This window comes from Homo sapiens, chromosome 13, assembly GCF_000001405.40.
Source record: "Homo sapiens chromosome 13, GRCh38.p14 Primary Assembly".
NCBI lineage: Eukaryota > Metazoa > Chordata > Mammalia > Primates > Hominidae > Homo > Homo sapiens.
The window spans coordinates 101283523-101311193 of NC_000013.11; the positions used below are offsets into that span (position 1 = coordinate 101283523).

Genomic DNA, 27671 nt, shown 5'->3' on the forward strand with positions numbered 1-27671 from the left:
TCTGAAAGCTTCCAAATGCAGAAAAACAGAGAGACTATGTATTAACATATTTTTCCCAGTTACTCGGGGAGGTATGAAACAATGAATTTGCCCACTGCCACATAACTCAGTCCTTCGGTAAAGAATATTTTTATAAGATTTCACATGTCAACAAAATTCTTCATTGATTCAATACCACTGAAATGCTCTTACATGCCTGCAGCCATCAGAAACTTATCAAATCCCTATTGTGTATGTTAAAAAAAAAAAAGCTAGGTCCTGGGAATAGAGGAAGGAGTGAAATACCATCTCTAACTTCAGGATTTTAAATTTGGACAAATCTAGAGCTTAAAGAGCTGTGGATTTTCTTGGATGAAATAAAATTCAAAGACCTTTGCTGGGCGATTTTTAAAAATGTCATTGTACTGCACCTGGAGGCAGGCTGGGGCGCGTCCCTGGGGCTTGTTGACATCCACAGCTACCAGCTGCCAACCTCCAGCAGCATCTTCATGAAACATCTTCAAGACAAAGAAGGGAGATGAGTCAGAGACATTTAATATGGAACATTGAGAACTCTATGTCTCCAGCTTTGTATATTTTTATGTTATCAAAAATTTGTCTTCTTATGGATTTATATTTGGAATGAAGTCATTTCAATTATAGTTCTTTAACATTGAAAGCTTAAATGAATGAAAAAAGAACAATGATAATAACTTGAGTTTATTGACTACTTGCTATGTCAGGCACTTTCTGTCTTGCATATGCTTTGCATATAATTGCTCAAATATTCTTCTCCACAAGAGAAATACTTTAGTATTTTATCCCCATTATATTGATAAATATCTATTAGATCTGGGAGAAAATGAAAATCAGAATTTAAAAGCATTGTGTCTGGTGTGTTTTTACTATAGGTTGCAAATTTTTATTTTTATTTAGTGGACAGTCTTCCACTCCCTGGCTTGGACTACCATGGTATCTTACCCTCAAGGCTGAACAGGAGCACTGACCTAATAAAAATATTCTCAGGATCCATAAAATAAGAAGTGTGCGTGTGGCATAGGGAAAGAACTGGTGTTATTTTAATGGTAGAAGATTGCCACATTGCTTAATACACTTTGTGTAATTATTTTAACTAGGCAGCAATTAACCTGCTCAGCAGAAATTTTATGTACGTATTATGAAGGGAACAAGTAGTTTCTTTTGGATTAAAGACCCAAGTGATGAAATTCAAGATGCTACAGGCCCACTAAATCTGAAATCCATTGAATTAGATACCTAGGTTATTATCTCCTAGGTACCTATTATCTCCTAGGTATCATCACATATTACCTATGTGTCAATATTACACCCAGCTGGAAGACATTTCCCACTTTCACGTATTTTCCCACTAACATATTTTTCTTTCTAGTTCTTAGGAGCGAGTGTGTGTGTATGTGTGTATGGTAGGAATAGGGCAAAATTAAACATTTTTGTTTTTCTAAATAATGATACTAACTACAAGTGCTCACTGTTTCATTCCTACCTGAGGTCGCTGTTTTACAGAAATAAATGTTTCCTTTGTCACCCTTATTTATGTCCTCCTGTTAGTCTGACCCTGTATTCGAAGGGGTAACTGCTGATGGAAATACGAATGAGATGATGCAAAGATCCCATTACCTAGGATTTGTAATTAGAGTTTCAAATCCCTGGTAGTAGTGGTGGTAGATCCTTTGTGGAAAATAAACTTGCCTTCTATAAAATGAGTGAGGTGGTGAGAGACAGTTGCCAAAAATCACAGTCCCTATATGTATTTTTATTATTTATTTATTTTTGGGGGGAGATAGAGTCCTGCTCTGTCGCCCAGGCTGGAGTGTAGGGGCGTGATCTCCACTCACTCCAACCTCCACCTCCCGGGTTCAAGCAATTTTCCTGTCTCAGCCTCCCGAGTAGCTGGGACTACAGGCACCCGCCACAATGCCCAACTAATTTTTGTATTTTTTTTTTTACTAGACAGAGGGTTTCAGCTTGTTGTCCAGGGTGGTTTTGAACTCCTGAGCTCAGGCAATCCCCCAGCTTCTGCCTCCTATATGTATTTTTAAATGACAAAATTAAGGTGCACATTTACATAAAGCTCCTTTGACAAAGATGCCAACTGCAAATTGCTCATCTCAGCTGTCCATTTACAGGATTCTGATTTTCTTTAGAATAAACTGCAAAAACTCTTTTTGGGGTGAATCAAGCATATTCTTCCTGAATAGCTCATTCTGAGAATATAGACATCAGTGGAGATGCAAACCTGTTATAGGACCTTGTAAAGTTTCTGTCAAAATTCTGGAAGCCTCATTTTAAGGATAAAAGACAAAACCAGCATTGCCAGTCACCAGTTATTAATAAAAACCCTCTGTTGATACATCCTATACTCTCTAATTGTGGCATAAAGGATCCCTGGGGCATATATTGACTTTGATCAGTAGCAGACTAATTTTCTCTCTTAAATTTTTTTTTCAATAGACCAAAATCAAAAGAATCAATTTAATTTTCAGTAAAAGTGTTCTCCCAAGGTCACTTATTTGTATGAAATAAGTAAAGGAAATGCAAAAACGTTCAATTTCTCTTTAATCCCCTGAATTATACAACATTTAGATTGGTTAATATTACAGTAGATCTTTGAGACAGAAGCTGGGCTAGCTAGCAGAAGCCAAGAATCCTCAGAGACTCAAATCCTTGCGGGGAGCGTGGCAGGGACTGCCAGTCTTTCCTTTGTATCTCTTTTCCCTGTTTTACAAAGAGAATCTGTATGGGGCCACTAGGCTACCAAGAAAAAAGGCCAGTTCTTGCCCTTTTTTTGAAGCTGAGCTTGACCATGTAACTACATACAGGACTATAGGATGCAAGCAGAAACCCTCTTTTCCTGTATTTCCTTCTTCTTCCTGCTCTCTGGGATATGGATGTGAGGGTTAGAGCTACAGCAGCCATGCTAGTCTACAAGGTGACTGTGGTAATGGGGGCTGTGCAAAGTGGAACAGGAAGGAAGGTGTCTGGATCCGTGGCAACACAGACAACCATACCATGCTGAATGAGCACCTCCAACTTTATATGAGAGAGAATGGGATTCCTCATCGCATACGTCACCTAAGCAACTTATTTTGGGCTTTTTTGTCCCTTGCAACTGAATGTAACTTAACTAGTATACGTGGTTTCTGTTAGAATGTCCATTAATTTTTTTTTTCATTTTACTGATGTAATTTTCCTTTCTCATTCTATAATTAAATATTTTACTATTAAAGGCTTAGAAAATGAGGATGAGTTGCAAAAGAAACAGCTTAAACCCATTCCCCAGAGACACCACCACTAACATTTTACAGTTAACATTCCAGGTATTATACACACACACACACACACACACACACACACACACCTGCATCCCACAGACAAACATAGGATCTTTTTTTGTACTAATATGTCATCAGCATATCTTCACATCAATAAAGTTCAATTCTTATTTTAATGGTTTGCATTTATTCCAATTTCATAATTTATAATCGATAACTTATTGCTAGAGACTAAGATTGTTTCCATTTTTAAAAAATTGCCATAATGCCTCATAAACATCCTCAAACATATGCCCTTGGCTACTGCCCCCAATTTTTCTTAGGATACATTTCTAAAAGCGGACTTTCTTGGTCAGATAGTATGTATGTTTTACTTTTGGATACATATTGCCAAACGGTTTTCTGGAAAAGATGTTTTAATTCATACTCTTGGCAACAATGTATGCGAATGTCCCTTTCAGCCAGCAATAAATACTGTCTTTTTTAAGAAAAGAAAAGTTAACATGAGGCCAGAACAAAGACAGCATGTTGACAGCAGGGCTTGTAATGGCTAAATTGAAAGGTGGTAGCATCTCATGCTGAATAAAAAGGCTCTTGCAGCTGAGCAACCTGGTTTTGAGTCCCAGTTTTACCACTAGCCAGTTATATAACATTGGGTTAGATAATTAACTTTCCAATCATTGTCATTTTTTACATGCAAAGTGGAGACATTAATAGTGCCCACTTCACAGTATTATTATGAAAATTAAATAAGACAGTTTGTAAAGCCATTAGACTAGTGCAGATCTCAATATATGGGAGTGACTGTAAGAAGATGTTCTGAATTAGTAGAATCTCACCAATAACACAAATGAATTTCCATGGCACTCTCCTCTTAGCACAATCATTTGGAAGCGCATGGAGATTTCAACTTTGAGAATTCTCTCAGGCCTGTCCATTTGCAACTGCTACAGTTTTATAACTGGTCGGTTGGTTTGTAAAGTAGCTAAAAATGCTTCTGGGATTGTTCCATTATAGGCATAATATCATCATCATCAACAACATGAATAACAGGTTATCTAATGGATAGTGGTAAGAGAAAGAATCTTGGTAATGGAGAATCACTAGCAGCTGAATTAGAATTCCAAACTCAAGACAGGCACACACACATCCACATACACAGTAATGCAGAGAAAATCTAAAATTTACTTTGCAATTTGCATGCTCTTTGGATTCTTTGAAAATTTATGGTTTTTCAAAAAATAGCTAATAGTCACTATGACAGAAAATAGTGAAAGTGGATACCTGGCTTGATTTCATTACGAAATAATATATTCAATGATGCAACCTCACAAAATTTAATTCTCATTTATGGTTTCCTATGATGATTGTACTATTCTATTATTATGGTTTCTTATTAGAAGGCACTCATTATTACACCATGCTAGAAGCACCCTTCCCTGAAATGCATTAATTGAATTGTTTTCTCACATATTTTAATGATGTATATTCATGAGGAAATAAATGGTCTTGGAACACAGTAAACACATTTTTGCTAAAGTATTTTCTTTGAGCATTAAGTTATATGTAGCTTTCTTTTTGGAGGAGAAATTCTTTCCATTTTGGATCATGTGTCTTTTCATCCATTTTTTCTCTACTTTTTAACCCAGCACTGAACATTTATGCACAAGTTGCTTTAGGCATTGTATAACCCATATTCTAAGAATGTTGATGGAAACCCAAAGGAGAAAAACTCAAAAGTGCCCATTCTTCCCACACCAGTTCTACCTTTATCAGTCTTCTCTGTTAATTAGGGGATATTAATTCAGAAAACACATGTCAGCAAGAGTGCTCAATCAGAGATAATAACAGACCCAGAAATGATTGCTGTCTTTGTGCAATCAGAATATTTAATTATTTACCAAACCTTCAATATGATCCTATTGGATTATGATTCATTTATAAAAGTTAGATATGTATTGACTGTCAGAAGCCTGCTTTCTGTCTCCTACCATTTTAACAGAAAAGTAGCCTTGTGTGGCTCTAAAATTTAGCAGTTCTTTGAGTTCTACTCAAGGCAAAGTTGGGATAAGCTCATCTCCATCATGAGCTAGTCTAGATCAGAGGACCATGGGGCTCATAACAGGTATCTGAAGTAAAGCATCTAAATAATGGGAGTAAAGGTCTGGGTTAGTGAGATACGGTACTCAGGACTTCGTCTTTCAGCTCACCTGCACATCCCAACATCCAGTCATGGGACATCACTAAAAAGTTGTGGCCTGGGTAACCCTATAGTGGATTAACAAAGCAGGGTATTATATCATGGGTGTATGAATCACTTATCCTTCAACCCAATCCACAACTGAGCACAAGGCAATAGTTACCCACGTCTAAGAATCAGGCAGGTATGAAATCACAAGGCTCTCAGAGGCCAGAGTCAATATTTAGTAATTTGAAATTTTCTACATCATTTTCCTTCTGTTTTCCAGTTACATGTTATATTATGGTCTCCTAAAGACCCTTGGCATTAATGTCTCTGTAATTTGTTCCTATGCTGTGTCTTGGAGGCATTTGGTGGTGACCATTCAATTGAAAAATATTGCTTCGTTATTTTAAAGAAACAGTTCTCATCACAGATTTCCTTTCGCCTCCCTTGAAATGGTCCCTGTCAGAGCCAGTTCCTAGTGAGCTGCCTAATATAACAGAAAGCCCCTTCTTTGTTCTGAAAATGTGCATATATATATATATATATATATATACACATATTTTCTATACACATGGCTGTTATGGGAAGTCTGCAGACTTAGACATCAACAAGTCCAACAAGCCCAGGACCCTTTAGTCCTTTGATGAGAATAGCCTATATTTAACAACTGCAAATTTTCCATATGCTAGAGAAAGGCAAGAATGTACTTCCATGTTTGAAAAGCTGTGTGCATTATAATAATCATCTTTATTTTATTTCCTTCAAATTAGTAACTTGTGATCTAGTGTTTTAAACCACTGAATGAGAAGTCCCTGTTCACGGAATTTGGTCATATTTTACAAACATAATAGCATCATGGCAAATTATGTCTCTCCCTTCTCTACACATAAAAGCATCAGAGGGCCCACTCGCAAGTGGCTAGCCAGGGTGGGCGGGGCCTGAAGCTCGTTGCTAGGCTGCCTGAGTGGTGTTTCACCCAGAGGCTGACAGCAGGAGCTTTGGTTGCTTAGCAACCAGGTCCTCAGCTATAGCATTTTTCTTAATGAAGGTTTTTCACAATTCTCTGTATGATTACCACTGCTGAATATCTAGACGCATTACCTCTGAATTACCAATTTATTCCTCTTGATTAAGTACAATTTTGCATCAAAATGATTCTGTACAACTTTGTTCCAAGTCTCTTCACATTTCCCTTTCTATTAGAACCATTGCCTGACTTGGTGGTGCTTCCAAACACTATTTTTTCCAGCTGTGATTTTATACGTGAGAGTTACTCCATAAACATACTATGGTTTTAAAGGAATCTTAGGTCATCTCCAGGAACACTGCATGTGAGTTAAGGGCTGAGATCATAGTTCCATATTCCATTTAGGTCTCAAAGTCATAACTGAAAACATGTCCTTCTAGAGGCTGCCACCTCGGAATGGACCGGGAACTTTCTTATCTCTCATAGTTTGCAAAAAGAGAGGAGAGAGGAGATGAGAACTTGCTATGGTTGATTTCTTGAAGGCTTTTCTACATGGCATTTCTGATATAACCTGGATAGCATATTCAAAAAACCTTTCATGGAAGTTTGAACAGTTGTTTGTAAAAACTGAATAAGACTGACACTATTTCATCTATAATGAATTGACTGGACAATTCAGACTTTTACAGCATCATAAAGATGCCTCAACACCACCAGGCTTTTCCCAAATTAGTGTGTTTAATTGCATTTTAACAAATAATTATTAAAAGCTCAACTTGAGGGTTTTCAAAAGTAAAATTTGTACACCTCGGCTCCTTGATAGATACCTTTGTCTTAACAGTATTTGTAAGTGTTTACAAAGTTGTTAAATATCCTTTAGAATTTAATATTATAATAATTACAAGGCATTATATCATTTTATTCCTGATTCTGGAATTTATATTTTCTCTCTCTTTTATAAAGATTCACGCTAGAAGAAGATACACAAATCTGCCCTTCCTTTTTTTAACACCACAAAAACACACACGTGAAACAAAACCAAAAATAAAAACAAAGGCATTGGATCTGAATTGCCCTCTTTTGTAATAACTGCCCTGCTGCTTTTAGCAAATCTGTAGCCCACCTTCAAATTCTCAGGAGCCTTATGGTTTTATGGAAACAATATTGCTATGGAACTTATGGGAATCCTTCTGAATATATAGGGATTCTTTAAAAAATCACAAACATGCATTTGGGGTTGAGGGATCTTTTTCATAGTTTATTGTACTGTGGTTTGTTCTGAATGAAATATATTTTCCATTACAAAATTCTAATCCTACACATAGACATTACATAGGCTTGCAAGTACATGAATAAATACCCATAAAAGTAAGAAATTCCATAGTGGTTGCATTTTATCCACAAGCCATTTGAGGATTTGTGATGTCAGAATCAAAGGTATGTAATAAATGTGGTTGACGATCTTGGTTTTGTATCAAAACCACCCACGGAGCTGTTACAAAATATAGGTGTCATTACCTCACTGCCTGGAAGCTCTGATTTGATTGTTCTGTGTTTGGGCCTTTGAACCTGTTTTATTTTATTTTCTTTTATGTTTTTTGGGGATAGGATCTTGCTCTGTCACCCAGGCTGGGGTGCAGTGTTGTGATTGCAGCTCACTGTACCTTTGACCTCCTGAGCTCAAGTGATCCTCCCATCTCAGCCTACTGAGTAGCTGGGACTACAAGCTCATGCCACTACTCTTGGCTAATTTTTAAAATTTTTTTGTAGAGACAGGGTCTTGCTACATTACCTAGGCTGATCTCAAACTCCTGGGCTCAAGCAATCCCTCTCCCTCAGCCTCCCAAAGTGCTGGAATTACAAGCATGAGCCACTGTGCCTGACTGGCAACTGTATTTTTAAACAGCTTCCTGAGTCAGACTATAGAAGCCCATCATGCAAGAGCTTCCCCAAGGTCCACTGATGGTGAGGGTGAGACATGTGCATGCTCGAATGGGTTATAACATCCTCTTGCTGATAGCGTACCTGGGTGGTGGCTGTTGAGGTAGTGCTGCTTCTCGATCCCCACATTTGTTGAAACTGTACTCTGATTTCTGCAAATGTTTCAATGATAACAGCAATAAACACGTTCTGAAAAAAATCACAAACCACATTTACCAAAGTCTAAGAATGACAAAGCAGAGGGCAACCAAAACCAAACAAAAGATCTGCAGAACTATCACAGAACATAGACTTTCTTAGTACAATTCTTCGCAGTACCTTCACAAGCCAGGCGAGGAAGAAAATGAGAGTGATGAAATAGAAGTAGGAACGCCAACGGGGAAAGCTGTCAATTGCTCTGTACATGAGGAACACCCAGCCTTCCTGTGAGGCGGCCTCATAGACGGTGAATATACTAGTTCCTGTCATGACAGAGGAGGACAGACTGAGTCACAGCTGACTTTTGAAATAAGAAAGCATTTTCCAGAAAAACAATCAATATTTATCCATACTTATTTTCTCAATGACAAAAGTGCTTCAAAAATTGATTAGAATCACATGCAACACATTTTACTGTTCTCTTAAAATTTTAATAAAGTTGTTTCTGACTTCAAGCCAGGGTAATTTCAACATCTAACAATAAAATAATTTGATATTATACCTTTAGCTGTTAAATGCAAATAATAATGTGGAAAAGGAAATAAACAGTCAAACCAAGTATATATATGTATAATTAAAAAAAGGATATGTACCATTTAAGCTTGCCACTTGGAGCCTAACACATTCAATAAGCTGAAAAGCACCTGCTATAGTTTTAACCAAAATGAAATAAATGGGAGAACTGAGTTTCATTTGAAATCACTTTCTCACAGGGAGAGTAAAGTATCTCAGGCTCCACAATTGATATGATGGAGCTTGTCTTTGGATTCCATGGTGTTACCGAACACCAGAATGTAAGGCAGTGAATCACCAAATAGGACTTTGTATTTTCTGGGAGAATTACCTCATAGAAAGTACTTCTAGTAATGGAAAGAAAGGAAAGCTAAAAATATGTGGATAGATTTTTTAACATTGGTTAAGAGAACCTAAAATGCCATGTAGGGAAAAGATGTGTTTAATCCTAACAACACTATAAGATGTTTTACAGACAGGGAAACTAAAGCATATAAAGATAAAGTGACTTGTCTGAGGATGCAAAGATAATAATTAAGGGAACTGGAATTAACTCAGTCATTCTGGTACAAAGCCCCACACATCCAACTGTGATGATATCTTGCCTCTTTAATAGTCTTTCTGTAGTTAGTTTCTCCATCTGTAAAATGGGAAATAACACAGACTTTACTGTGTTGTAAGGATTTAATGACTTAATTCCTGTAAATCACAGGGTAGGTTCTTAAGATATTTCAGGTATCATTTATGACTATAAAATTGAAAATAATTGCTCAATATGCTTTTGTGAGAAAACACACACACATATACCATTGAAGTTGTTTATAAAATAAATATAAGTTGTTATTCATAAAACTGGTAAACATTTGTACCTCAATAAATTCTACTTCTATAAATAAGTTTTATTATTACAGAATATAAAACCAATCTCCACTCATACATGTTTTAGTTACACAGAAATTTAAACTAGAATGTGCATATGACCAAGTATCCAAACAAAGAGGAGAGTTGCACAGGTTGGGGCAGCCTCACTGTTTCTTTGAGCCTGTGCATGAGAAAGCAGAATCAGAGCAACAGCAAACACCAAGGCATGCAGAACAGAAGGCAAGTCCAGCCGCAGACTTGATGACAAGGGAGAAAAAGAGGCTGGAAAGAAAAGCTAAGAGAAAGAAGCAAAGTGCAGTCCTATCGCCTATTATGCATTAATGTGTGCTAATATACTTTCTATAGAATATAACTTCATAAATGTCCTGCCTTTCATTTTAAAAATCATATTTTGTACATTGGTACTGTAACTCCTTGTCATACAGCTGGTATTTGTAAAGCATGTTGAGTTTCTAGCCTCTTTAACACAACATGCTAAGGAAATCTCTGTCTTATTAGCTAGGCAAATGGCGAAGTGGGGATGAGGGCAGATATTATCAATACCATCTTACAGAAAAGAAAAGTGAAGGTCACTGGTTAATGAAGGTCTCCAAGGTGGAAAGTGGTAGAACCAGAAATTGAACCCATATCATCAGGTCAAAAAAAATTTTTTTTTACCATGCTATTTATATTTCTCTTGATTGAGACTGGGGCTTTAAAAAGAAATTATTAATGGGTACAAACATAGAGTTAGATAGAAGGAATAAGTTGTAATGTTCCATGGCAGACGAGGGTGATTATAGTTAACAACAATGTATTGTGTATTTCAAAATAGCTAGCAGAGAGGCCTTGAAATGTTCCCAACACATAGAAATGATAAATGCTTGAGGTTATGGATATCCTAAATATCTTGATTTGATAATTACACATTTTATCCATAAAACAAAATATCACAGGTACCCCATAAATATGTACAATTATTATGTATCAATAAGTATGTTAAAAAGAGATTATTTTCTCTTATTATCCTTAAATATAGTTAATGTTTTTCTGAGGGATTATAATGGCTAAGTTTATTGTTTCTTTTTTTTTTTTTTTTTTTTTTTAGTGAAAGCTGGGTCCAGGGGGATCACTGCCTTCTGGTCCTGTGATGCCGCCAACGTACTGGATATACCAGCATTTATTGTTAAGTTTAGTGAGGGTGGGGGTAGTTTAGTGAGGGATTTAGAGTCATTTGATTATGAAGTGAGATGGTCACATGGGGATGAAGTAATTCTTTAACATAATATCTGTATGCAGAAGTACAGTATACAGAGATAAGAATTTACAATATTGTGTGCATCAGCAATTTCTAACAGAGCCTTAAAACAGAAAACAGTCTTTCCATAACCTATGATTAGCAAGGTATTAATCAGCAGTAACAGTTGCAGCAAAAGCTGGTTACAAACAATCCATAGAAACAGGACGTGAAGCTAGACAACCGGTTACAACACAAATTCTCAGAAGGGAGTATGCCTTAACCCTAAAGAGGCCTAGAAGAGCCCTGGCAAGATAAGGGCATTTATAGCCCTATCTTATCCATATGAACAGGCGCCCCCTCATGCATCTGTTCATAGGCTCTCCACAGTAAACTTATAAGTTTCTTAAAAGTTGACTTTTAAGAAAAAGGTTCAGAGAGGAACAACACATACATAAAATGTCAACAGCAAACAGAAGCAACTGTTTTTATTGATGATTCATAGGTACTAACACTGGACAATACCTTTGCTTTATGTGCACTGAATATGAAACATATTTTTAACATTAAACAAACAATTTATAATGTATATCCCTTATTTTCCTCTAGGTTTTTGAATGAAACCAAACAGTGGCTACAGAAATCCACTATTATCTACCATTCAAGTTTAATAGCTGTATTAACTGAGCATTTTCATGTAGAATATGGAGCTTGTCACTATAAGATTAAATTTGAGAGGAACATTGAAAATTATCCTCCCTCTCCCTGTCCAGATCTTTCTTAATCACATCTGCAAGCAAGATGTCATTTGGAGTCAAGTAAAAAAGAGCACATTGAACTAGTAGCCTTGAAACTTCTACTCCATTTTTTTTTCTAATTGGACAAAGGAAAAAAGGAAAGAAACAGAAACCCACAGTACAGCTCAAAGAGAAGGGTTTGTTGACACAAAGAGGTGAGACATTCGTGAAAGTATAACCAAAACACTCCCCAGGAAGACGCTGACGATGGAAAGAAATGTTTCCCATACGTGAACTACACTGGGTAGAAAGGCTGTGAAGAAGTAACAGTTACAAAGGCAAAGGCAATGGACGAAGATGGTCCTTCCTCATCTCTTTACTACTCCTGGCTTTGCCAAACATAGCAAAAGAAATCACTTTTCAAAAATGGTTTTCCAATGGTCGACCAATATTTAAACTGACAAAAATCAAATGTATGTTCCTTTCATTTTCTTTGGGAAGTGGAGGACCCTGAGAAAGAAACTGTAGCTACTGAAACTTCTTTTGCACAGTCCCGCTCTCGCTGCTGGCCCTGCACTGCTTCCCTCTGGCCCTCTTGACAGACTCCTGGGCTGCCCAGCTCAGCTCCTCTGTGCCCTCAGCTACACTAGGCAATGGCCCTTAGTACTCCCAGAGAGCCTCCCATTCAACTGTCTCATGTCACTCGTCATACTGAATTCTCTACCTTGTTTGTTTCCCTCAGTAGGTGTGAGCACTCTAAAGTTAAAACTGTATCTTTCATTTCTGTACCAGACACTGAGGAGCACTCAAAGATTGTTGATAAATTAAACAATGATTTTGTAGCCTACAGACATAGGAAAGCATTTCTCAAATATTTGCTTTTTGATTAATTCTTCCTCAATATTAATACTGCACAGATAATTTGGAAACTATTTTGTAGTGAATTGACTTTGCTTTGCTGATTTTCAAAATTCTCTTAAAACACCTGCACACTCATATATAAACATAAAAACCCATGCTATACACACAGAAAAGTCTTCATCTACTGTTTGATCCAACATGGAAAATTTCTAGGAAGAACATTGATACATTTAAAATATTTTTTCTAGATGTGCTACAGAATATTTTTAGTCCATTTTAATTATAGAACTAAAATTTCTGGCTAAACGACCATATTTTTGTTAAATGAAAAATGATGCTACAACAGCACCTGGGAATATAACGCATTAATTTTTTAGAGAACAATAAGGCCTGTTCCAAAAATATCCCTGGAGAGCTCTTGGAATAGCACTACTTTCTCAGACCCCAAACTCTCAAGGCACAAATTAAAGCTGTGCAAGAAATGCAATCACAACAATGATACTCATGATAATCAGTTCTCCTGATTTCATTCATTCTTTCTGACCTCTTCCACTGGTGGTTTGAATTGATTAAATAAGAAGACCACAAGTCTATGTTTAGAAGATAAATACTAACCTTGAAACTTTCTACACACTGCCTGTATTGAGAATAGTAGAGGATATTTTTTATAGCTCTGAACAAAATTATATTCCCATCTGTTTTGATTACCTTTAGGATTTTATTTACCGCTTTGCCCTCTTCTGCTGACTCTTTTCCCATGAAAAAAGAGGTGAGATATTTGTGTTTTGGGAGTACTCCCATTTGTTTCTTCTAGTCTTAGGTTACATAACCACATTGTCATTCCACTCTCAAGTGAGAGGGTCATAAAATTGTGATGATAACTAGCAACACACTACAAACCTGGGGTCCTACCACTAAACCTCTCTCCAAACACAAAATACCTATAGTACTATTCTAACAATGGTAATACCTGATCTGCCATGACAGAAGTTGGGAAGTTAGAATTGGAGATGTAAGCCCGAGACAGTGGAATAAGAATGAGTCAGTACCCAAGGGCTTGGTCTGAAAAATCACCTTCACTCCCACACTCAGAATTTTTAAAAGAACAAAGAGGATTTATTTTATGACCATCCATTTCTTTCTCTCTCCCAGTGTTTGGATCCTCAGCAATGTTCTTGAACTTTAACCCCTCCAGGGATATGGAACACCCCATCTTCTGAGACAGCTCCTTACCAGGTATGCTAGAGCCCATTCACTGGATGCTGCCAGGCTTCAGTCCCTTTGGGAACCTCTCTTGGGCTTGCAAGGCACAACAAGCTATAGGAGTCTGCAGAATTAGTCCTTGCACCCCCTTTGCGTGAATCATCCTTTGTGTTACTCGGGTCATCCTGCTACAGGTGCTTGTTTTCTTATCTGGTCCTTTAACTCTTCCAATCTGATCTACTGTTTATGAAATTGGCCTGATTATCCGGCTTCATTTACTGTCTGGGAATAGACTTTCATCTGTGGTGAACAAAATGGCAACTTTCTTGTTACTCAAGATCATCAGTTTCCCTCAGACTTTTCTAAATGACTCTTTCTGATCCTCCAGCTGACTCTGATCAGACATCACCCTTTTCAGAGAGAAGCTGATTGACTTTGTCCTGGTTAAATCTCAGTTTGAGCATCCCCTTCAGTTGGAAGGGAAAAGAAACTTACACGTTACTCAACCACTATACATGGATGACTATGCTGTATCTGTGTCTCAATGAACTGTCTACTGTCAGTCAGTAGATTTAACTGTGGAAGTGTATGATCCTAATCCTAAACTCCAAATAGATACTTATTTGCTCAACTACATTTGCAATGACTAAATATTCAATCCTGAATGGTGGTCAAATAAGAGCTTGATGTTTTCACATGTGCATGATTAGAAGTACAACTTGTTCAAGATGGGGTGGGTTGTGCTATATTGGTTTTTATTTGTTTCTGTCTTTTTATGTTTACATATATACAACTTGCCTAATCTCCAGCTATTTTTTTTTTTTGAGACGGTGTCTTGCTCTGTCACCCAGGCTGGAGTGCAGTGGCTTGATCTCAACGCACTGCAACCTCTGCCTCCAGATTCAAGTGATTCTCCTGCCTCAGCCTCCCCAAGTAGCTGGGACTACAGGCACATGCCACCACGCCTGGCTAAGTTTTGTATTTTTAGTAGAGACAGGGTTTCGTCATGTTGGCCAGGCTGGCCTCGAACTCCTGACCTCAGGTGATCCACTCACCTCGGCCTCCCAAAGTGCTAGAACTGCTCCATAGGGCAATATTCTTATTAAACTGCAGAACTAATGAAAAAAGAGAGCGATGAATAGTTTAAGAGAGAACTTGCTGAAGCTACACAAAATGTAAGTTTGGTACTAGTGACATCTGCAGGTGGATGATGCTTTAATGGGAAGGTCTGTCCTATGCATTGCAAGATGTGTAGCCACACCCCTGACCTCTACCCACTAAATTCCAACAGTCCCTGCAACCCCCAACCAAAAATACTTGTAGACATTCACCAGTGGCCCTTGTTGGAAAAATTGCCAATTGAGAAACACTTTTCTAACTTGACAGCCTCTCTGATTCTTCAGCTTTTGCCCTGCAGTGCCTAGCACAGGGTCTAGCATATAATTTATATTAAGTATTTTTGAAATGAATTGAATCTCTTCACTTGAGATCAAATACAAGACTTAAAAATGACATTTCATTCTTCTTTAAAGATTTTTGAAGGCTAAAAGCCTAGATCCTAAGACATTGCTTATTTGTATAAAGTATTTGCCACACAGTAGACAGCTCAATAGTACCATTACATAAATTTTTATCATTTTGCTGTTTTAACAACTAGGCACTGGAAAGAAAAGCTTATTTCTTTTTAAAATTCCTGCTATGTAGTAAGATGACTGTATACATGCATATCTTAGAATTTGGGGGAAGGGAGGCTATCTCTGCTTGCGGAATAAGCCATTACAAAAGTACATTAATTAAAATCGAAAATAAATTAACATATTTTGAATGAAATAAATAGTGCAAAATGTTCCCAAACGAAATTAAATGACTGCCTTCTGAACTGTCCCAAGACAAACCACACACAGGGTTTTTTTTGTTTGTTTGTTTGTTTGTTTGTTTGTTTTTGGGTAAGCTTTCAGGTTTTTCTTCTGAATCAAGATGAGACATTCAGTATATTCATAGAAAAACACAGAAGAAAACAGACTAATTCTTAATCCACGTTGGTAGACTCTGGTTCTGTCTGGATCATGAGACAGATAATACAAACTTGCAAAACAGCTCAGTAGCCTCTACAATGAAACCTAAGCAGCAGCCACCAGATTAAGAACAAAGTGGCCACCTCTTCAATTCAGCTACAAACTTGCATTTGAGGTCACTTTTGATGGCAAAATCTATATTGCAATTATTAGTTTTTATTTTTGGTGAACTCTCAGTTTCTCTCATCCTCTAATAATCTCTTCACTCAGATATACCATCTGTTATGCAGATTTTAGCCACATATTAAAAAAAATTTTAGCCAAAGGTCAGTAGTGAGATTGACTGTAACTTACTATAATGTTTTTCTTCACCAAATTTCCCCACACCATCTCAGCACTTTCTTCTTAACTGAGAGCTGGTTCTGTGGTAAGAGTAAATTGTACCCCAACAGTAGTTATCATAAAGTAAATGTATTTAGTGTGACATAATTAAAAAAAAAAAGCAGCAGCGAGGGGTGTGTACTCTTAAGGTGGACATCTGGACTCAACATAATGAACATTTGTCACGGTGGCTGGATGATCCACATACATGAAATAAGATCATGTGGATCAGCAGACCAGCAACAGCAAGAAAGGTGCATCCTGAATTGCAGAGATTTACTAAACGATAAAGCAGCTAGAACTAAATTACTTGGGAGGATGTTACCATCCTAGTGAATAAAACCTCTGTAAACCATGTTTTCTCCCTCCGATCCTCCTTCCTTCCTTCCCTCCTTCTTCTTCTTCCTCTTCTTTTCCTTCCTTCCTTCTTTTTCTTTTTCTTCTTTCTTTCTTTCTTTCCTTCCTTCCTTCCTTCCTTCCTTCCTTCCCTCCTTCCTTCCTTTCTTTCTCTTTTTTTTCTCTCTCTTTCTTTCTTCCTTTCCTTTTTTTCTTTTTCTGAGATGGAGTCTCGCCCTGTCACCCAGGCTGGAGTGCAGTGGTACAGTCTTGGCTCACTGCAGCCTTCACCTCCTGGGTTCAACCAATTTTCTGCCTCAGCCTCCCAAGGAGCTGGGATTACAGGCATAAGCCACCACGCTCAGCCTCAAAAAAATAAACTTAAGTATTTTTCCCTGATAGACTGTGCTGTAACATTGTGCCTGTAATAATAATCTTCAACACAACTTGTCCACACACTCAAGTCATGTGCTCCACACACCCAGCCTGAGGCTTGCCACGTGGCATATCAAGGCAATAAAACAAAATAAAGCAAAAACCACATTTTTTATTTGCTATTCCAGAACATGGGACAAACATAAAAGGACTTTTTTAAAATTATAAATGCCTTAAAAATATTTATAAACTTTATGTTTTTGAGCTACTTTAATTTTGATTTTGGTTTCTTTGTTTGTTTTTTACACTTAAGCACTCTTTTGGCACAACTTGCCATATTGGTAAACTCACTTTGTTACCTTAAACCATACACATGTTTACATATATCTTCTAAGTTAATTTTTTATAAGTAATAAAGAATCATAGTTGAAATATGTTTCCTTAAATGTAGAAAATTTCTAAAGTTCCAAGTTCTGAACAGAGAATACTTCAAAGAAAGGAGAGGTGAAGGCTTTCACTATAGTATTCACAAATGGAAAAGAAGTGTTGACAAGCCGGATGCTGACATTGGCAGGAAAGTGTAGGTACTACAGCAGAACAGTTCCCAGGACGCTCAGTCCACACGCCAACTACAGCACTCCCTGCGCCCCCTGCGCTCGGCAATTTCCAGGTAGGCTGAGAGTAAGGGTAGCAAAGAAACCTGGTCAGATACCCCTCAGCCTGTGAATCAGCATTCTGCCTTTGAGGAGCAGTGAGGTCAGGTCAAAAGAGCTTCTTGGAAGTTTATTTTCCATTAGTTGTCTTAAGAAGAAAAGAAAGGCCGGGCGCAGTGGCTCATGCCTGTAATTCCAGCACTTCGGGAGGCCAAGGCAGGTGGATCATGAGGTCAGGAGCTTGAGACCAACCTGGCCAACATGGTGAAACCTTGTCTCTACTAAAAATACAAAAATTATCCAGGCCTGGTGGCATGTACCTGTAATCCCAGCTACTTGGGAGGCTGAGGCAGGAGAATTGCTTGAACCTGGGAGGCAGAGGGTGCAGTGAGCCGAGATCACACCACCGCACTCCAGCCTCGGGGACAGAGCAAGACTCTGTCTCAAAAAAAAAAGACAAGACAAGAAAAAAAAAAACAAAACCCTACGCTTTGCCACAGTTAGCTGTCATTTACAGTTCCTAACATTCCAGTCATCCATTACTTCTTACCTAGGTAACCTGTGTGAGTCAGTACACCCTGGACCTCAACTTCCATGGATGCACTAGGGCAGTGATGATACTGCTGATCACCACTAAGGCGCTAAAGAAATGTTAATTAGAAGCTTTTCAATTGTCCTAAAGAGTACACAAAATATGTCATACCAGAAATATGTTTCCTCTGAGGGTCTTTTAGTTTTGTCACCCATATTTTAAAGATTTATTGGAAGGAAATCTTTTCAAAGGAAATTGAAGCAAAAGGGCTAGAAGTTCGCATAATGTTAAGATAATAGTTATGACATAAAAAATTCATAATAGTCCAAAAATTAGAACCAAGCATTTGGCAAAAGTACTAAGATATTTTTCCTCCTATTCTGAGATATGCACATGGTTCATATCTGCATCATCATACATATTCAATAAAAATGAAAATGCAAAAATTAACAATAAGGTAGACCTGGTCAGTCTACCTCAGAAGAGCTACAAGAGCAATTATTTATTTATTTATTTATTTTTAATAGGAAGGCTGAATGAACTAGTAAATAATCTCGGAATAAAAAGATCAACCAAGATTGGAAATAAATAATTGACGTTTGTTTATAAAGGCAGATTAAAATCCAATTTTAAAAAATCCGATTAGGTCTACGTGGGAGGGAAGAAACATACCTGAGTGATAGGGACCAAATGTAATTTTAAATAAATGTGAGATAAGAAATACAAATAACACATGGAATTAACTAAAAATAAAGTTCTTATTTGTATTACGATAAATACCAAATTTACACTGAATGTCATTAATTTAAATATTTATAATACAGCACTAAAAGCAAAGATGTGTTCTAATATCATTTGTAATAATATTACAACTTAATGGTTAAAACTGAATAGAAAATGTTAACTAACTGCTAAAAATTTGAAGCTTGTACATGGGGAAATTGTTCTGTCTTATAACTTCACGTTTACATATGTGAATAAAAATATTCACAGAATTTTTCCTGTATTTGCTATCCACATTCTTCAGTAAGCTTCCAAAGCCTGAAAACATGTTTAAAATTGAAATTTGTTCAACTGGTTTAGGTTTTTTTTTTCCAATGTGCTACAGATTCCAGTTTAAAGGTTAAACTAAAATTAAAAATCATTTTTCATGTATTAAGTTATGCTGCCAAGAAAGCTCTGTACTGTATATTCCTACTTTTCCAGCATTTCCAATGTAGACCAGAACTCTACAGAGGTGAGAGAAGAATATGAGAAAATTGTAACCAATTAACTTTTAAAACACTGTTGATTTCCAGTTACTGACTTTCAGTGTGCTCAGCATTTTTCTTGTTATGAAGACAGGATTGATAACTTCCAAGCTCTTTACAAGCAGAAACAGAAACCAGAAGTCAAAAAAGCTTCGTTTTGATTTAAGATATAGATCAAAAATAGTACAGATAAATGAACATATTTGATTAGAACGAGTTTTAAATTAATGTCTACAAAGACGTGGTTCTCTGCTTACATGTGGTCTAGTCTGCCTGGTCACAATTTGGCTTATGCATCACTAACAGCACAGGATGAAAAGGCCGTCATTAGCACAGAGAGAGGCTGAATTGTGATGGGGCGATTCTCCTGGTGGACCCCAAGACATTATGTCAGAATAATGCATTATAAGTCATTTTCCCCACCAACAACTTTTTCTATTTACGTTTTAATATTTGCCTGTTTTCTTTTCTGCTTGATTTTAACAACTAACTGCAAGGCAACATTAGATACAGACAACATACTTAGAATAGTGGCGAAAGAGGAAGGAAAACGGTCATTCACGGAATATGGTTCAAGTACCCATTACATAATAGCACAACAAACTTAATCAAAGCCAGAGAGCTTTGGGCAGCTGTGATCTGGCCTGCTTATGCCTGGAATAAAATGTCTTTCCGCGCTCTCATTAGGCACATTGGCAAGACGGCTGCACCAGGCCAGAGCTCATTTGGCCAGCAATCATACCTTTCTAGCAAGTATCTGGGCTAACGACCTCAAGAGAGCAATCAGACATTTGTGCTGTGGCTGATGGAGTAATACTGACTGGCTATTCCTGACTGGGAGGAATACAGAAAAATCATCCCTGGAAACACTAGCTAAACTCTAACATGCAGAGAAATATGGAGCAATTGGCAATTATTTAAAACTTTAATAGTATTTTATTTAATTCACTATTCAGAAGGTATAACTCACTGTTCTTGTTCATCAACCAATGCAGGGTATTCATAAGTCTTTTTGTAGAGTGTAGGTGTTCGTCTTACAAATCACTTTGCAGCCAGGTGTTTGAGCTTCAATGACCTCCATTTAAATCTGAGGAAATATCTAAAATGATTTTTATTTTAAGTTTTTGTACTTTAATTTTATTTTTAATTTTAAGTACACTTATTTCAGATGTAAAGACTTTTTTGTTATTTTATTATGTTATTATTTTTATTTTATTTTTAAATTTAAGTTCTGGGATACATGTGCAGAATGTGCAGGTTTGTTACATAGGTATGCATGTGGCATGATGGTTTGCTGCACCTATTGACCCATCATCTAGGTTTTAAGCCCCACATGCACTAGGTATTTGTCCTCATGCTCTCCCTCCCCTTCCCTCCCACCCCCTGACAGGCCCTGGTGTGTATTTTGTTATTTTTTGAGACAGGGTTTGGCTCTGTCACCCAGGATGGAATGCAGTGGTGCCATCTCGGCTCACTTCAATCTCCGCCTGGGATTACAGGCGGATGAGGAGCTGGGACTACAGGCACTCACTACCACGCCTGGTTAATTTTTGTATTTCTTGTAGAGACCAGGTTTCGCCATGTTGCTCAGGCTGGCCTTGAAGTCCTGAGCTCAAGCGGTCCACCCACCTTGGCCACCTAAAGTGTTGGGATTACAGGTGTGAGCCACCACACCTGGCCTGGAATAATTTTTTTCTTTTCTTTTTTTTTTTTTTTTGAGACGGAATCTTGCTCTGTTGCCAGGCTAGGGTGCGGTGGCTGGATCTCAGCTCGCTGCAATCTCCGCCTCCCGTGTTAAAGTGATTCTCCTGCCTCAGCCTCCCGAGTAGCTGCGACTACAGGTCCCTGCCACCACGCCCAGCTGATTTTTGTATTTTTAGTAGAGATGGGGGTTTCACCATGTTGGCCAGACTGGTCTTGATCTCCTGACCTCGTGATCCGCCCGCCTCAGCCTCCCAAAGTGCTGGGATTACAGGCATGAGCCACCGCACCCGGCCTGGCCTGGAATAATTTTTAAAGAAAAAATTATTGTTATTGTTTGTTGACAAAATCCGGCATTATATACCTGACGGTTTTTATGAACCTCTGTACTAGATTCATTCAACAAGATTAGGAATGAGAGGGCAGGTCAAACGTTGTCTCTTATTGGGACATGAAGAAATGGAGTTGAATGTTGTATCCAACTCTCTTACTTGGTTAATCTTGTCACTTTCTGCCTTCTCATCACTGGTGGTTACTTATTGGTTGGAAGGAAATAAGTATCTCCTATGATAGTTGTGTTTCGTAATTCTCTTATAGTTGAATAAATTTGCTATTGCCTAATGGACGCTTATAAAATATCCAGCACAAATCATTGAAGTTAAAGAGGCACAAGGACATTTTATCATCTACATAGACATTTTAGCAAGACAATTCTTTCATTTGGCCTATTTAATTTTTCCAGCCTTTTAACCCTTATGTTTTGACCTAGAATTCACAACTACCTCATACTGCAAAAAGAGACAACAATCAAAAGGCTAATATTCAAGGTTTTAATCTTATTTGCACGACAAATTCAAGTCCAACAATACCTCTTGTCTCCTTTTATCTCAAAGCTTTAATTTTAGGGAGACACAGATTCTGTACAATGTAGGTTATACCATTGTTTATCTCATTTTATTGGAAAAATGCAGTATTTATAAAAGTTTGTCCAAATTTTAAAGTTTAAAGTTGTTTATCCTTTTTGTCCCTTTGTAGATTGTAAACTCCATGAAAGCAGCCACTCTGTGTTGGTCACCACCATATTCCTAGGGCCTGGGCCAGTGCCTGGCAGATGAAACACAGGTATGTTAATCTGGACAAAACATAAAATGTAGATTAAATGGGCAAAGGAAAGTAACAAAGCAGAGAGAGGTCAGGGAGAGGGGCTGGTGGAAATATTCAAAGAGGAAACACATGTAAAAGGGAAGAGTGTGTTGGACCATGTGAAGAGCCACAATTATAGAGGTCAGCAGACTTTGAAAGCCGGCCAGTCTGCTCATCTGCCATCCTGGAGGGTCTCCAGGAGGGGACTATCCAGATTAATTTCCATGAATGGTGCCCGAGGCCAGTTGGTGACCCACACCAGCTGCCAGAGCTCCCGAGGCTGCAGACCTGCTTTGCTGACTAAGGATGCCCCAGGCCCTCATTGCCAGACTCAGCCACCTCCCTTGAGAGGTGCTGCATTCCCCACATCCCTTCCCACAGTATCTATCACGCATTGCTAGCTCAATGGCTCCACTTGTCTCCAGACACTGGCTTCCATTTCCTCTGCAGATGCCCATTTCATGGCCTCATGTGACCCTTCTCCCACGTCGGTCCTCAGAAATGTGGGCCAATGGGTTGTTTTACCCTCTATGTCGAGAAATTCCTCTAGGTCCAGCCGTGCAGGCACTGACAAAGCTGCTTTGGCCTCCCCTCTGCCCTGCCCTTGTCCTGGTGATTCTTTTATACCAGTCCTGATGCTGGCTTTGACTTTAGAGCCATTGCTTGTGTAGCTTCAGTGTTCACATGGCATTTGCAGGAGGTGGGACACCATCGTCCTCCACCTCAGCATCCCAAACGTTAGAATATCATCACATTCATTAAAGTGGCTGAGACTTGTCATGAATTGCTGTGGGTCAGGCTTGGCTCATTTAATCCTCACTGACACCTTAGTACTACAAACACCATTTTACTGATACAGAAAGCGAGTTAAGCCATTTGCTAAGGTCGCATGGCAAGGAAGTGCTACTGTGGGTTGGATCCTGCCCTCCATGCAAGCTTAATCCCCTGTCCCTATCAGGCTTTCTTTGTGTGGAGGAAGTTCAGGTGCTATTATCAGGTGCATTTTCTTGGACTCTGAGAACCCAGGCTCCTTCCTGCGGTTTCTGAGGTAAGGGGTGGGGCTCTGAGATGCCTTCAGTCCCTGGAAGAGCCAAGCATAGGCTGGGTTTGAAGTTCATGTTGTTGCATGATTATTAACCACAACCAATAGACATGAGCATCTTGTTTGGGGCCATTATTGTTATGAACTTCTAAGTCAGGGTAAGGTCTCAGCTTCATTTTCCTGCTACTATTATGGAGATCCTTGGGTGCTTAGCCCCTCTTTGTCGCTTGGAGAAAAACCTCATGTTTTGGTATGATTAGCTTCTGAGCAGAGCGATGGTGGTCTGGGCCCCATTAGACAGCTCCAACCCATGGAAGCCACAGACAACTGTTGGCCACAAACCCAGAACAGTCATAACTTTGAACTTCCTAGGACTGTCACAGATTACACAGATGGAGAGAAACATCCTGTTACACACCAGGCCTTTCTCTATTTCAGTTCTCCACCAACACACTGGCAAGTCGTTCTTATCACTCTTACATTAAAAATGAAAAGACTGTGGCTTAATGAGACTAAACACATCCCTGAGTTCACCCAGAGTGGATGTCTGGAGCGGCATTCCAATGAATCCGTGCTCGCCTCCACAGACTATGTTCTTTCCACTCTGCCATGCATGTCTGAACTTTCTGAAACTTTTCTTGGCTTGGTTTTGAGGAATTTGAACAAATTCCTGTCTGGTATACTTTGTGAGAGCAAAAATTCTGCTTTTAAAGTTAAACAGACTAGCCCAAGAAAAGGGAAGGGAGGAGGGGTGAAATTTCCTTCCTGCATTTTGGATTAGCAATAGTTCTTCTGTGCTTTTGCTTGGGTTGAGGAGAACATTTCTCTGCCTTCTCTGCACTCTTAGCTCCTCAAATGATTGTCCAACAAGAGTAGGTAAAGATAGTTTTAAATATTCTTAGAGTTCTAACCAAAATCCGATATTTAAAATTTAAAAAGCAGCAAGATTTTAATTATTTTCACTAATCTGTTAGGTAAATCAGAACAATATAAAATTTAGCAGTGACTCTGGTTTAGCTTTTGGGTGTATTGGGTGTACCTTTTGGATATTCCATACGATTACTGAAATTCTAACTATGGCTTTGTTCTGTGTTAAAAATGTAATCATTTGAGAAATATAAAATAGAGAAATTAGTTTATAACAATAAATTTGTTTTGACTTCAATAAATGAAGTCAAATTTCATGGCTTCATTTTTGGAATATATTTATAATGGACTGGGCATTTTGTCCTTTGGTTATTTAAGCCTGTAGTAGATATTGCTGCTTGCGACTCTAGACTCATTCTTCTCTTCTTCCTGGGCGCATGGCTGCTCAGTGAGGGAATATGTTTCCTAGAATTTCCTGCAAGGAGTTGTGGCCTTGTGACAAAGTTCTTCCTGATGTATGCAACTCCCAAGCCATCTACAAAAACTCCTTCCCTGGACTCATTTTTCCCTTCCCTTCCACCAGCTAGAAATAGAGAAGCCAAGGACAGACTTGGAGAGTAAGTGTTGAGTTTGGCAGAGATGCCACAGAGGCCTGCACTTTGGGATGACTTCATGGGGCCCAGCTCATCCAAATACCCACATACCCAGGATGGCAGCTTCAGAAAGAAATCAACTTGTGTCTTGCTTGAGCCATTGTGTTGTGAGTTCTCTCTTTAAAGCTTACTTTACCCCAACTATTACATAGACTGAGACTCAAAGTAGCTATGGTCCGTGGGCCCAGTTCTCAGAAACGGCTGATGTTCACAAGGATGTCTGTTTGGAAAAAATATGCTAACTAAAAATTATTGACATACAGACATTTTAGGATTTCACACAAGTATATGAAGCAGATTGGACGGTTCAGGGAAACAAAACAAGGCAAAGTTCCAACTGATGTCTGATAAAACAGCTCTTTTTTTCTCACAAAAGCCACTCTACTAACCTTGCCCTAAGTTACTGGCATACCAAGACACAGAAATTCACACTTCATACCTACACTTAGCCCGAAGAATGAACTCCACCCATAGATCTAAAATAACAAGGTAAAATGTACAATTTAATGTCACATAAAGATTTGCTTAAGATTCTTTGAAATGTTCAAAGGAGATACTTTGAATATGAGATTGTTACTTTTTAAATATAGGGTTTTGGTTTCATGACTAATGGTATGATTCAACAACATGGAGCAATAAATTATTTCTCAAGAAAAAGCATTATACTTTAATTTGTCCCATTTCAAGGCTTTAAAAATCTTGCCAAAATAATGCTATTTTTACCAAATAAAATGTTAAAATACAGGCAAAGTCTTAAGAATAATACACACACACACACAATTCAACATTACTAAACTCAGACATACCAAAGAAATTCACATTCTTGAAAGGACTACCAAGCCTGCATCTTGTTATTCTAGGCAAACAAATATGAGAAATATTTAGTACTGGAATAGGAAGTATTTTGGCAAGTTTTTGCAAGTGCTTTGACCTCACAGTTCATGACCATAATGAATGGCCACCTCAGTGATATAAATCAGACACCACATAGTTTGATAAAATGTAGGGATACATTTCCTCATCTGTCAATCAAAGCATGCTCATTGGCCACTTCAGCACATCAACCACCCCATATTCATTTTGTCTATTGGCAAATAATTCCTAAGACAGTCTGTCTTAAATTTCAGCAAGACTCTAGTGTAATGCCTTGTGGTTTGAGTGAAATTCACATCATGTAACCAAGCTTTTGCAAATTTGATCATTTTACTTTATGGAAAATATTTTCATCTCAGCCATTGTTGACTTTGTATTCTTGACAAGAATTAAGCAAGTCTCATTGATCCTTTACTGTGTCAAAGAAAACAATTTTAAAAAAATTGAGCATGTGTAGTTTTCATTATTCAATCATGTTTTCTGTTTTGACATAAAAAGTGAAAAAATTCTACCAGCTATAGCATTTTCAATCTAATCACATTACTGGAACTTAACATGTAATGAAACCGAGATCCTCATATTTCCCCTCAAACATGCTCTTCTGGAAGTTAATGGCAAGTCTATCTAATCACTGAGGCCAGAAGCTTTAGAATGATCTTTTCCTTTTAACACACAGCCAATCTCTTAGTAAATCCCATAAAGTAAACATGAACACTATATTCAGCATCTTCTGTGACCTCCACTGCTACCACCTTTGTCCAAGCCACTGCCATCTCTCGCCTGGACTCTTAGGACAGTCTCTTCTGTCATTGCTTCCCTTGATTCTATTCTCTGCCCAGCAAGCAGAGTTGTCCTGATCAGTTTTGTCTCGCCTCTACTCAAAATGCTCCACGGGCTTTCCATCTCATTTAAAAGGAATAGCCAAGGTCATTACGTTGCCCTGGAAGGCTCTACGTGATCCATTCCTTGTTACCTTTCCAATCGTATTCCCTTTCTCTTTCTCCATAGCTTCATTCAAGACCTGTTGGCCTCCTCATATGAGGAGGAGAGCATGGGGCATGCTTCCTTCTCAAGGCCTTTGCAAGGGCTGTTCCCGATGCCCTGCACACTCTTCCCCAGAGAGCCATGTGACTTGCCCCTTCCCAACTACTACATTTTCCTTGAAGGGACACCTTCATGGCCACCTTATCTGAAACTGCAATTCCTGCTCACACCTTCCCCTCTCTTTGTCTGCTTTCCTTTTCTCCTTGACACTTATTACTACGTAGCATGCTATTTATTTTACTTACTTATTTTCATTATTTCCTGTTTCCTTTGGTAGAATTTGTCAACTCCATGAAAGCAAGGATTTTTTCTCTGTTTTTCACTGTTGTGATCAAATGCCTAGCACATAGTGGGTCCTCAATAAACTATTTTTGAATATTGAATGGATAAAATATTTTCCCATATAATCAATTGACCAGGAAGGAAACTGATAGAAAAATAGTAAAGAAACACATTCACATATAATGGAAATAAAGTCAGAACTGAATCAGAAAATAGGATATTCACATATGGAATGTGTAAAAAAATCTCTTGATGGGGATGGCACTGAATCTGTAAATTACCATGGGCAGTGTGGCCATTTTCACGATATTGATTCTTCCTACCCATGAGCATGGAATGTTCTTCCATTTGTTTGTATCCTCTTTTATTTCATTGAGCAGTGGTTTGTAGTTCTCCTTGAAGAGGTCCTTCACATCCCTCGTAAGTTGGATTGCTAGGTATTTTATTCTCTTTGAAGCAACTGTGAATGGGAGTTCACTCATGATTTGGCTCTCTGTTTGTCTGTTATTGGTGTATAAGAATGCTTGTGAT

General features: G+C 38.2%; 1 protein-coding gene across 10 annotated transcripts in view; it reads right to left on the minus strand.

Annotated features, from left to right (window-relative positions):
• The window catches only part of NALCN (sodium leak channel, non-selective), a 363404-nt gene that overhangs the window by 229747 nt on the left and 105986 nt on the right, over window positions 1–27671 (minus strand). For 6 of the 10 annotated variants that reach the window (XM_011521067.3, XM_024449336.2, NM_001350749.2 and 3 more), the window contains 3 exons: window positions 8702–8844; window positions 8468–8572; window positions 411–497 (listed from right to left, as the gene is read on the minus strand). In XM_011521067.3, coding sequence (XP_011519369.1) covers window positions 411–497; window positions 8468–8572; window positions 8702–8844 — 335 coding nt within the window. Of the gene's footprint in view, window positions 1–410; window positions 498–8467; window positions 8573–8701; window positions 8845–20505; window positions 20635–27671 lie in introns of those variants that run through there. The other 4 variants (XM_011521069.3, NM_001350751.2, NM_001350750.2 and 1 more) reach the window with 2 other exon arrangements.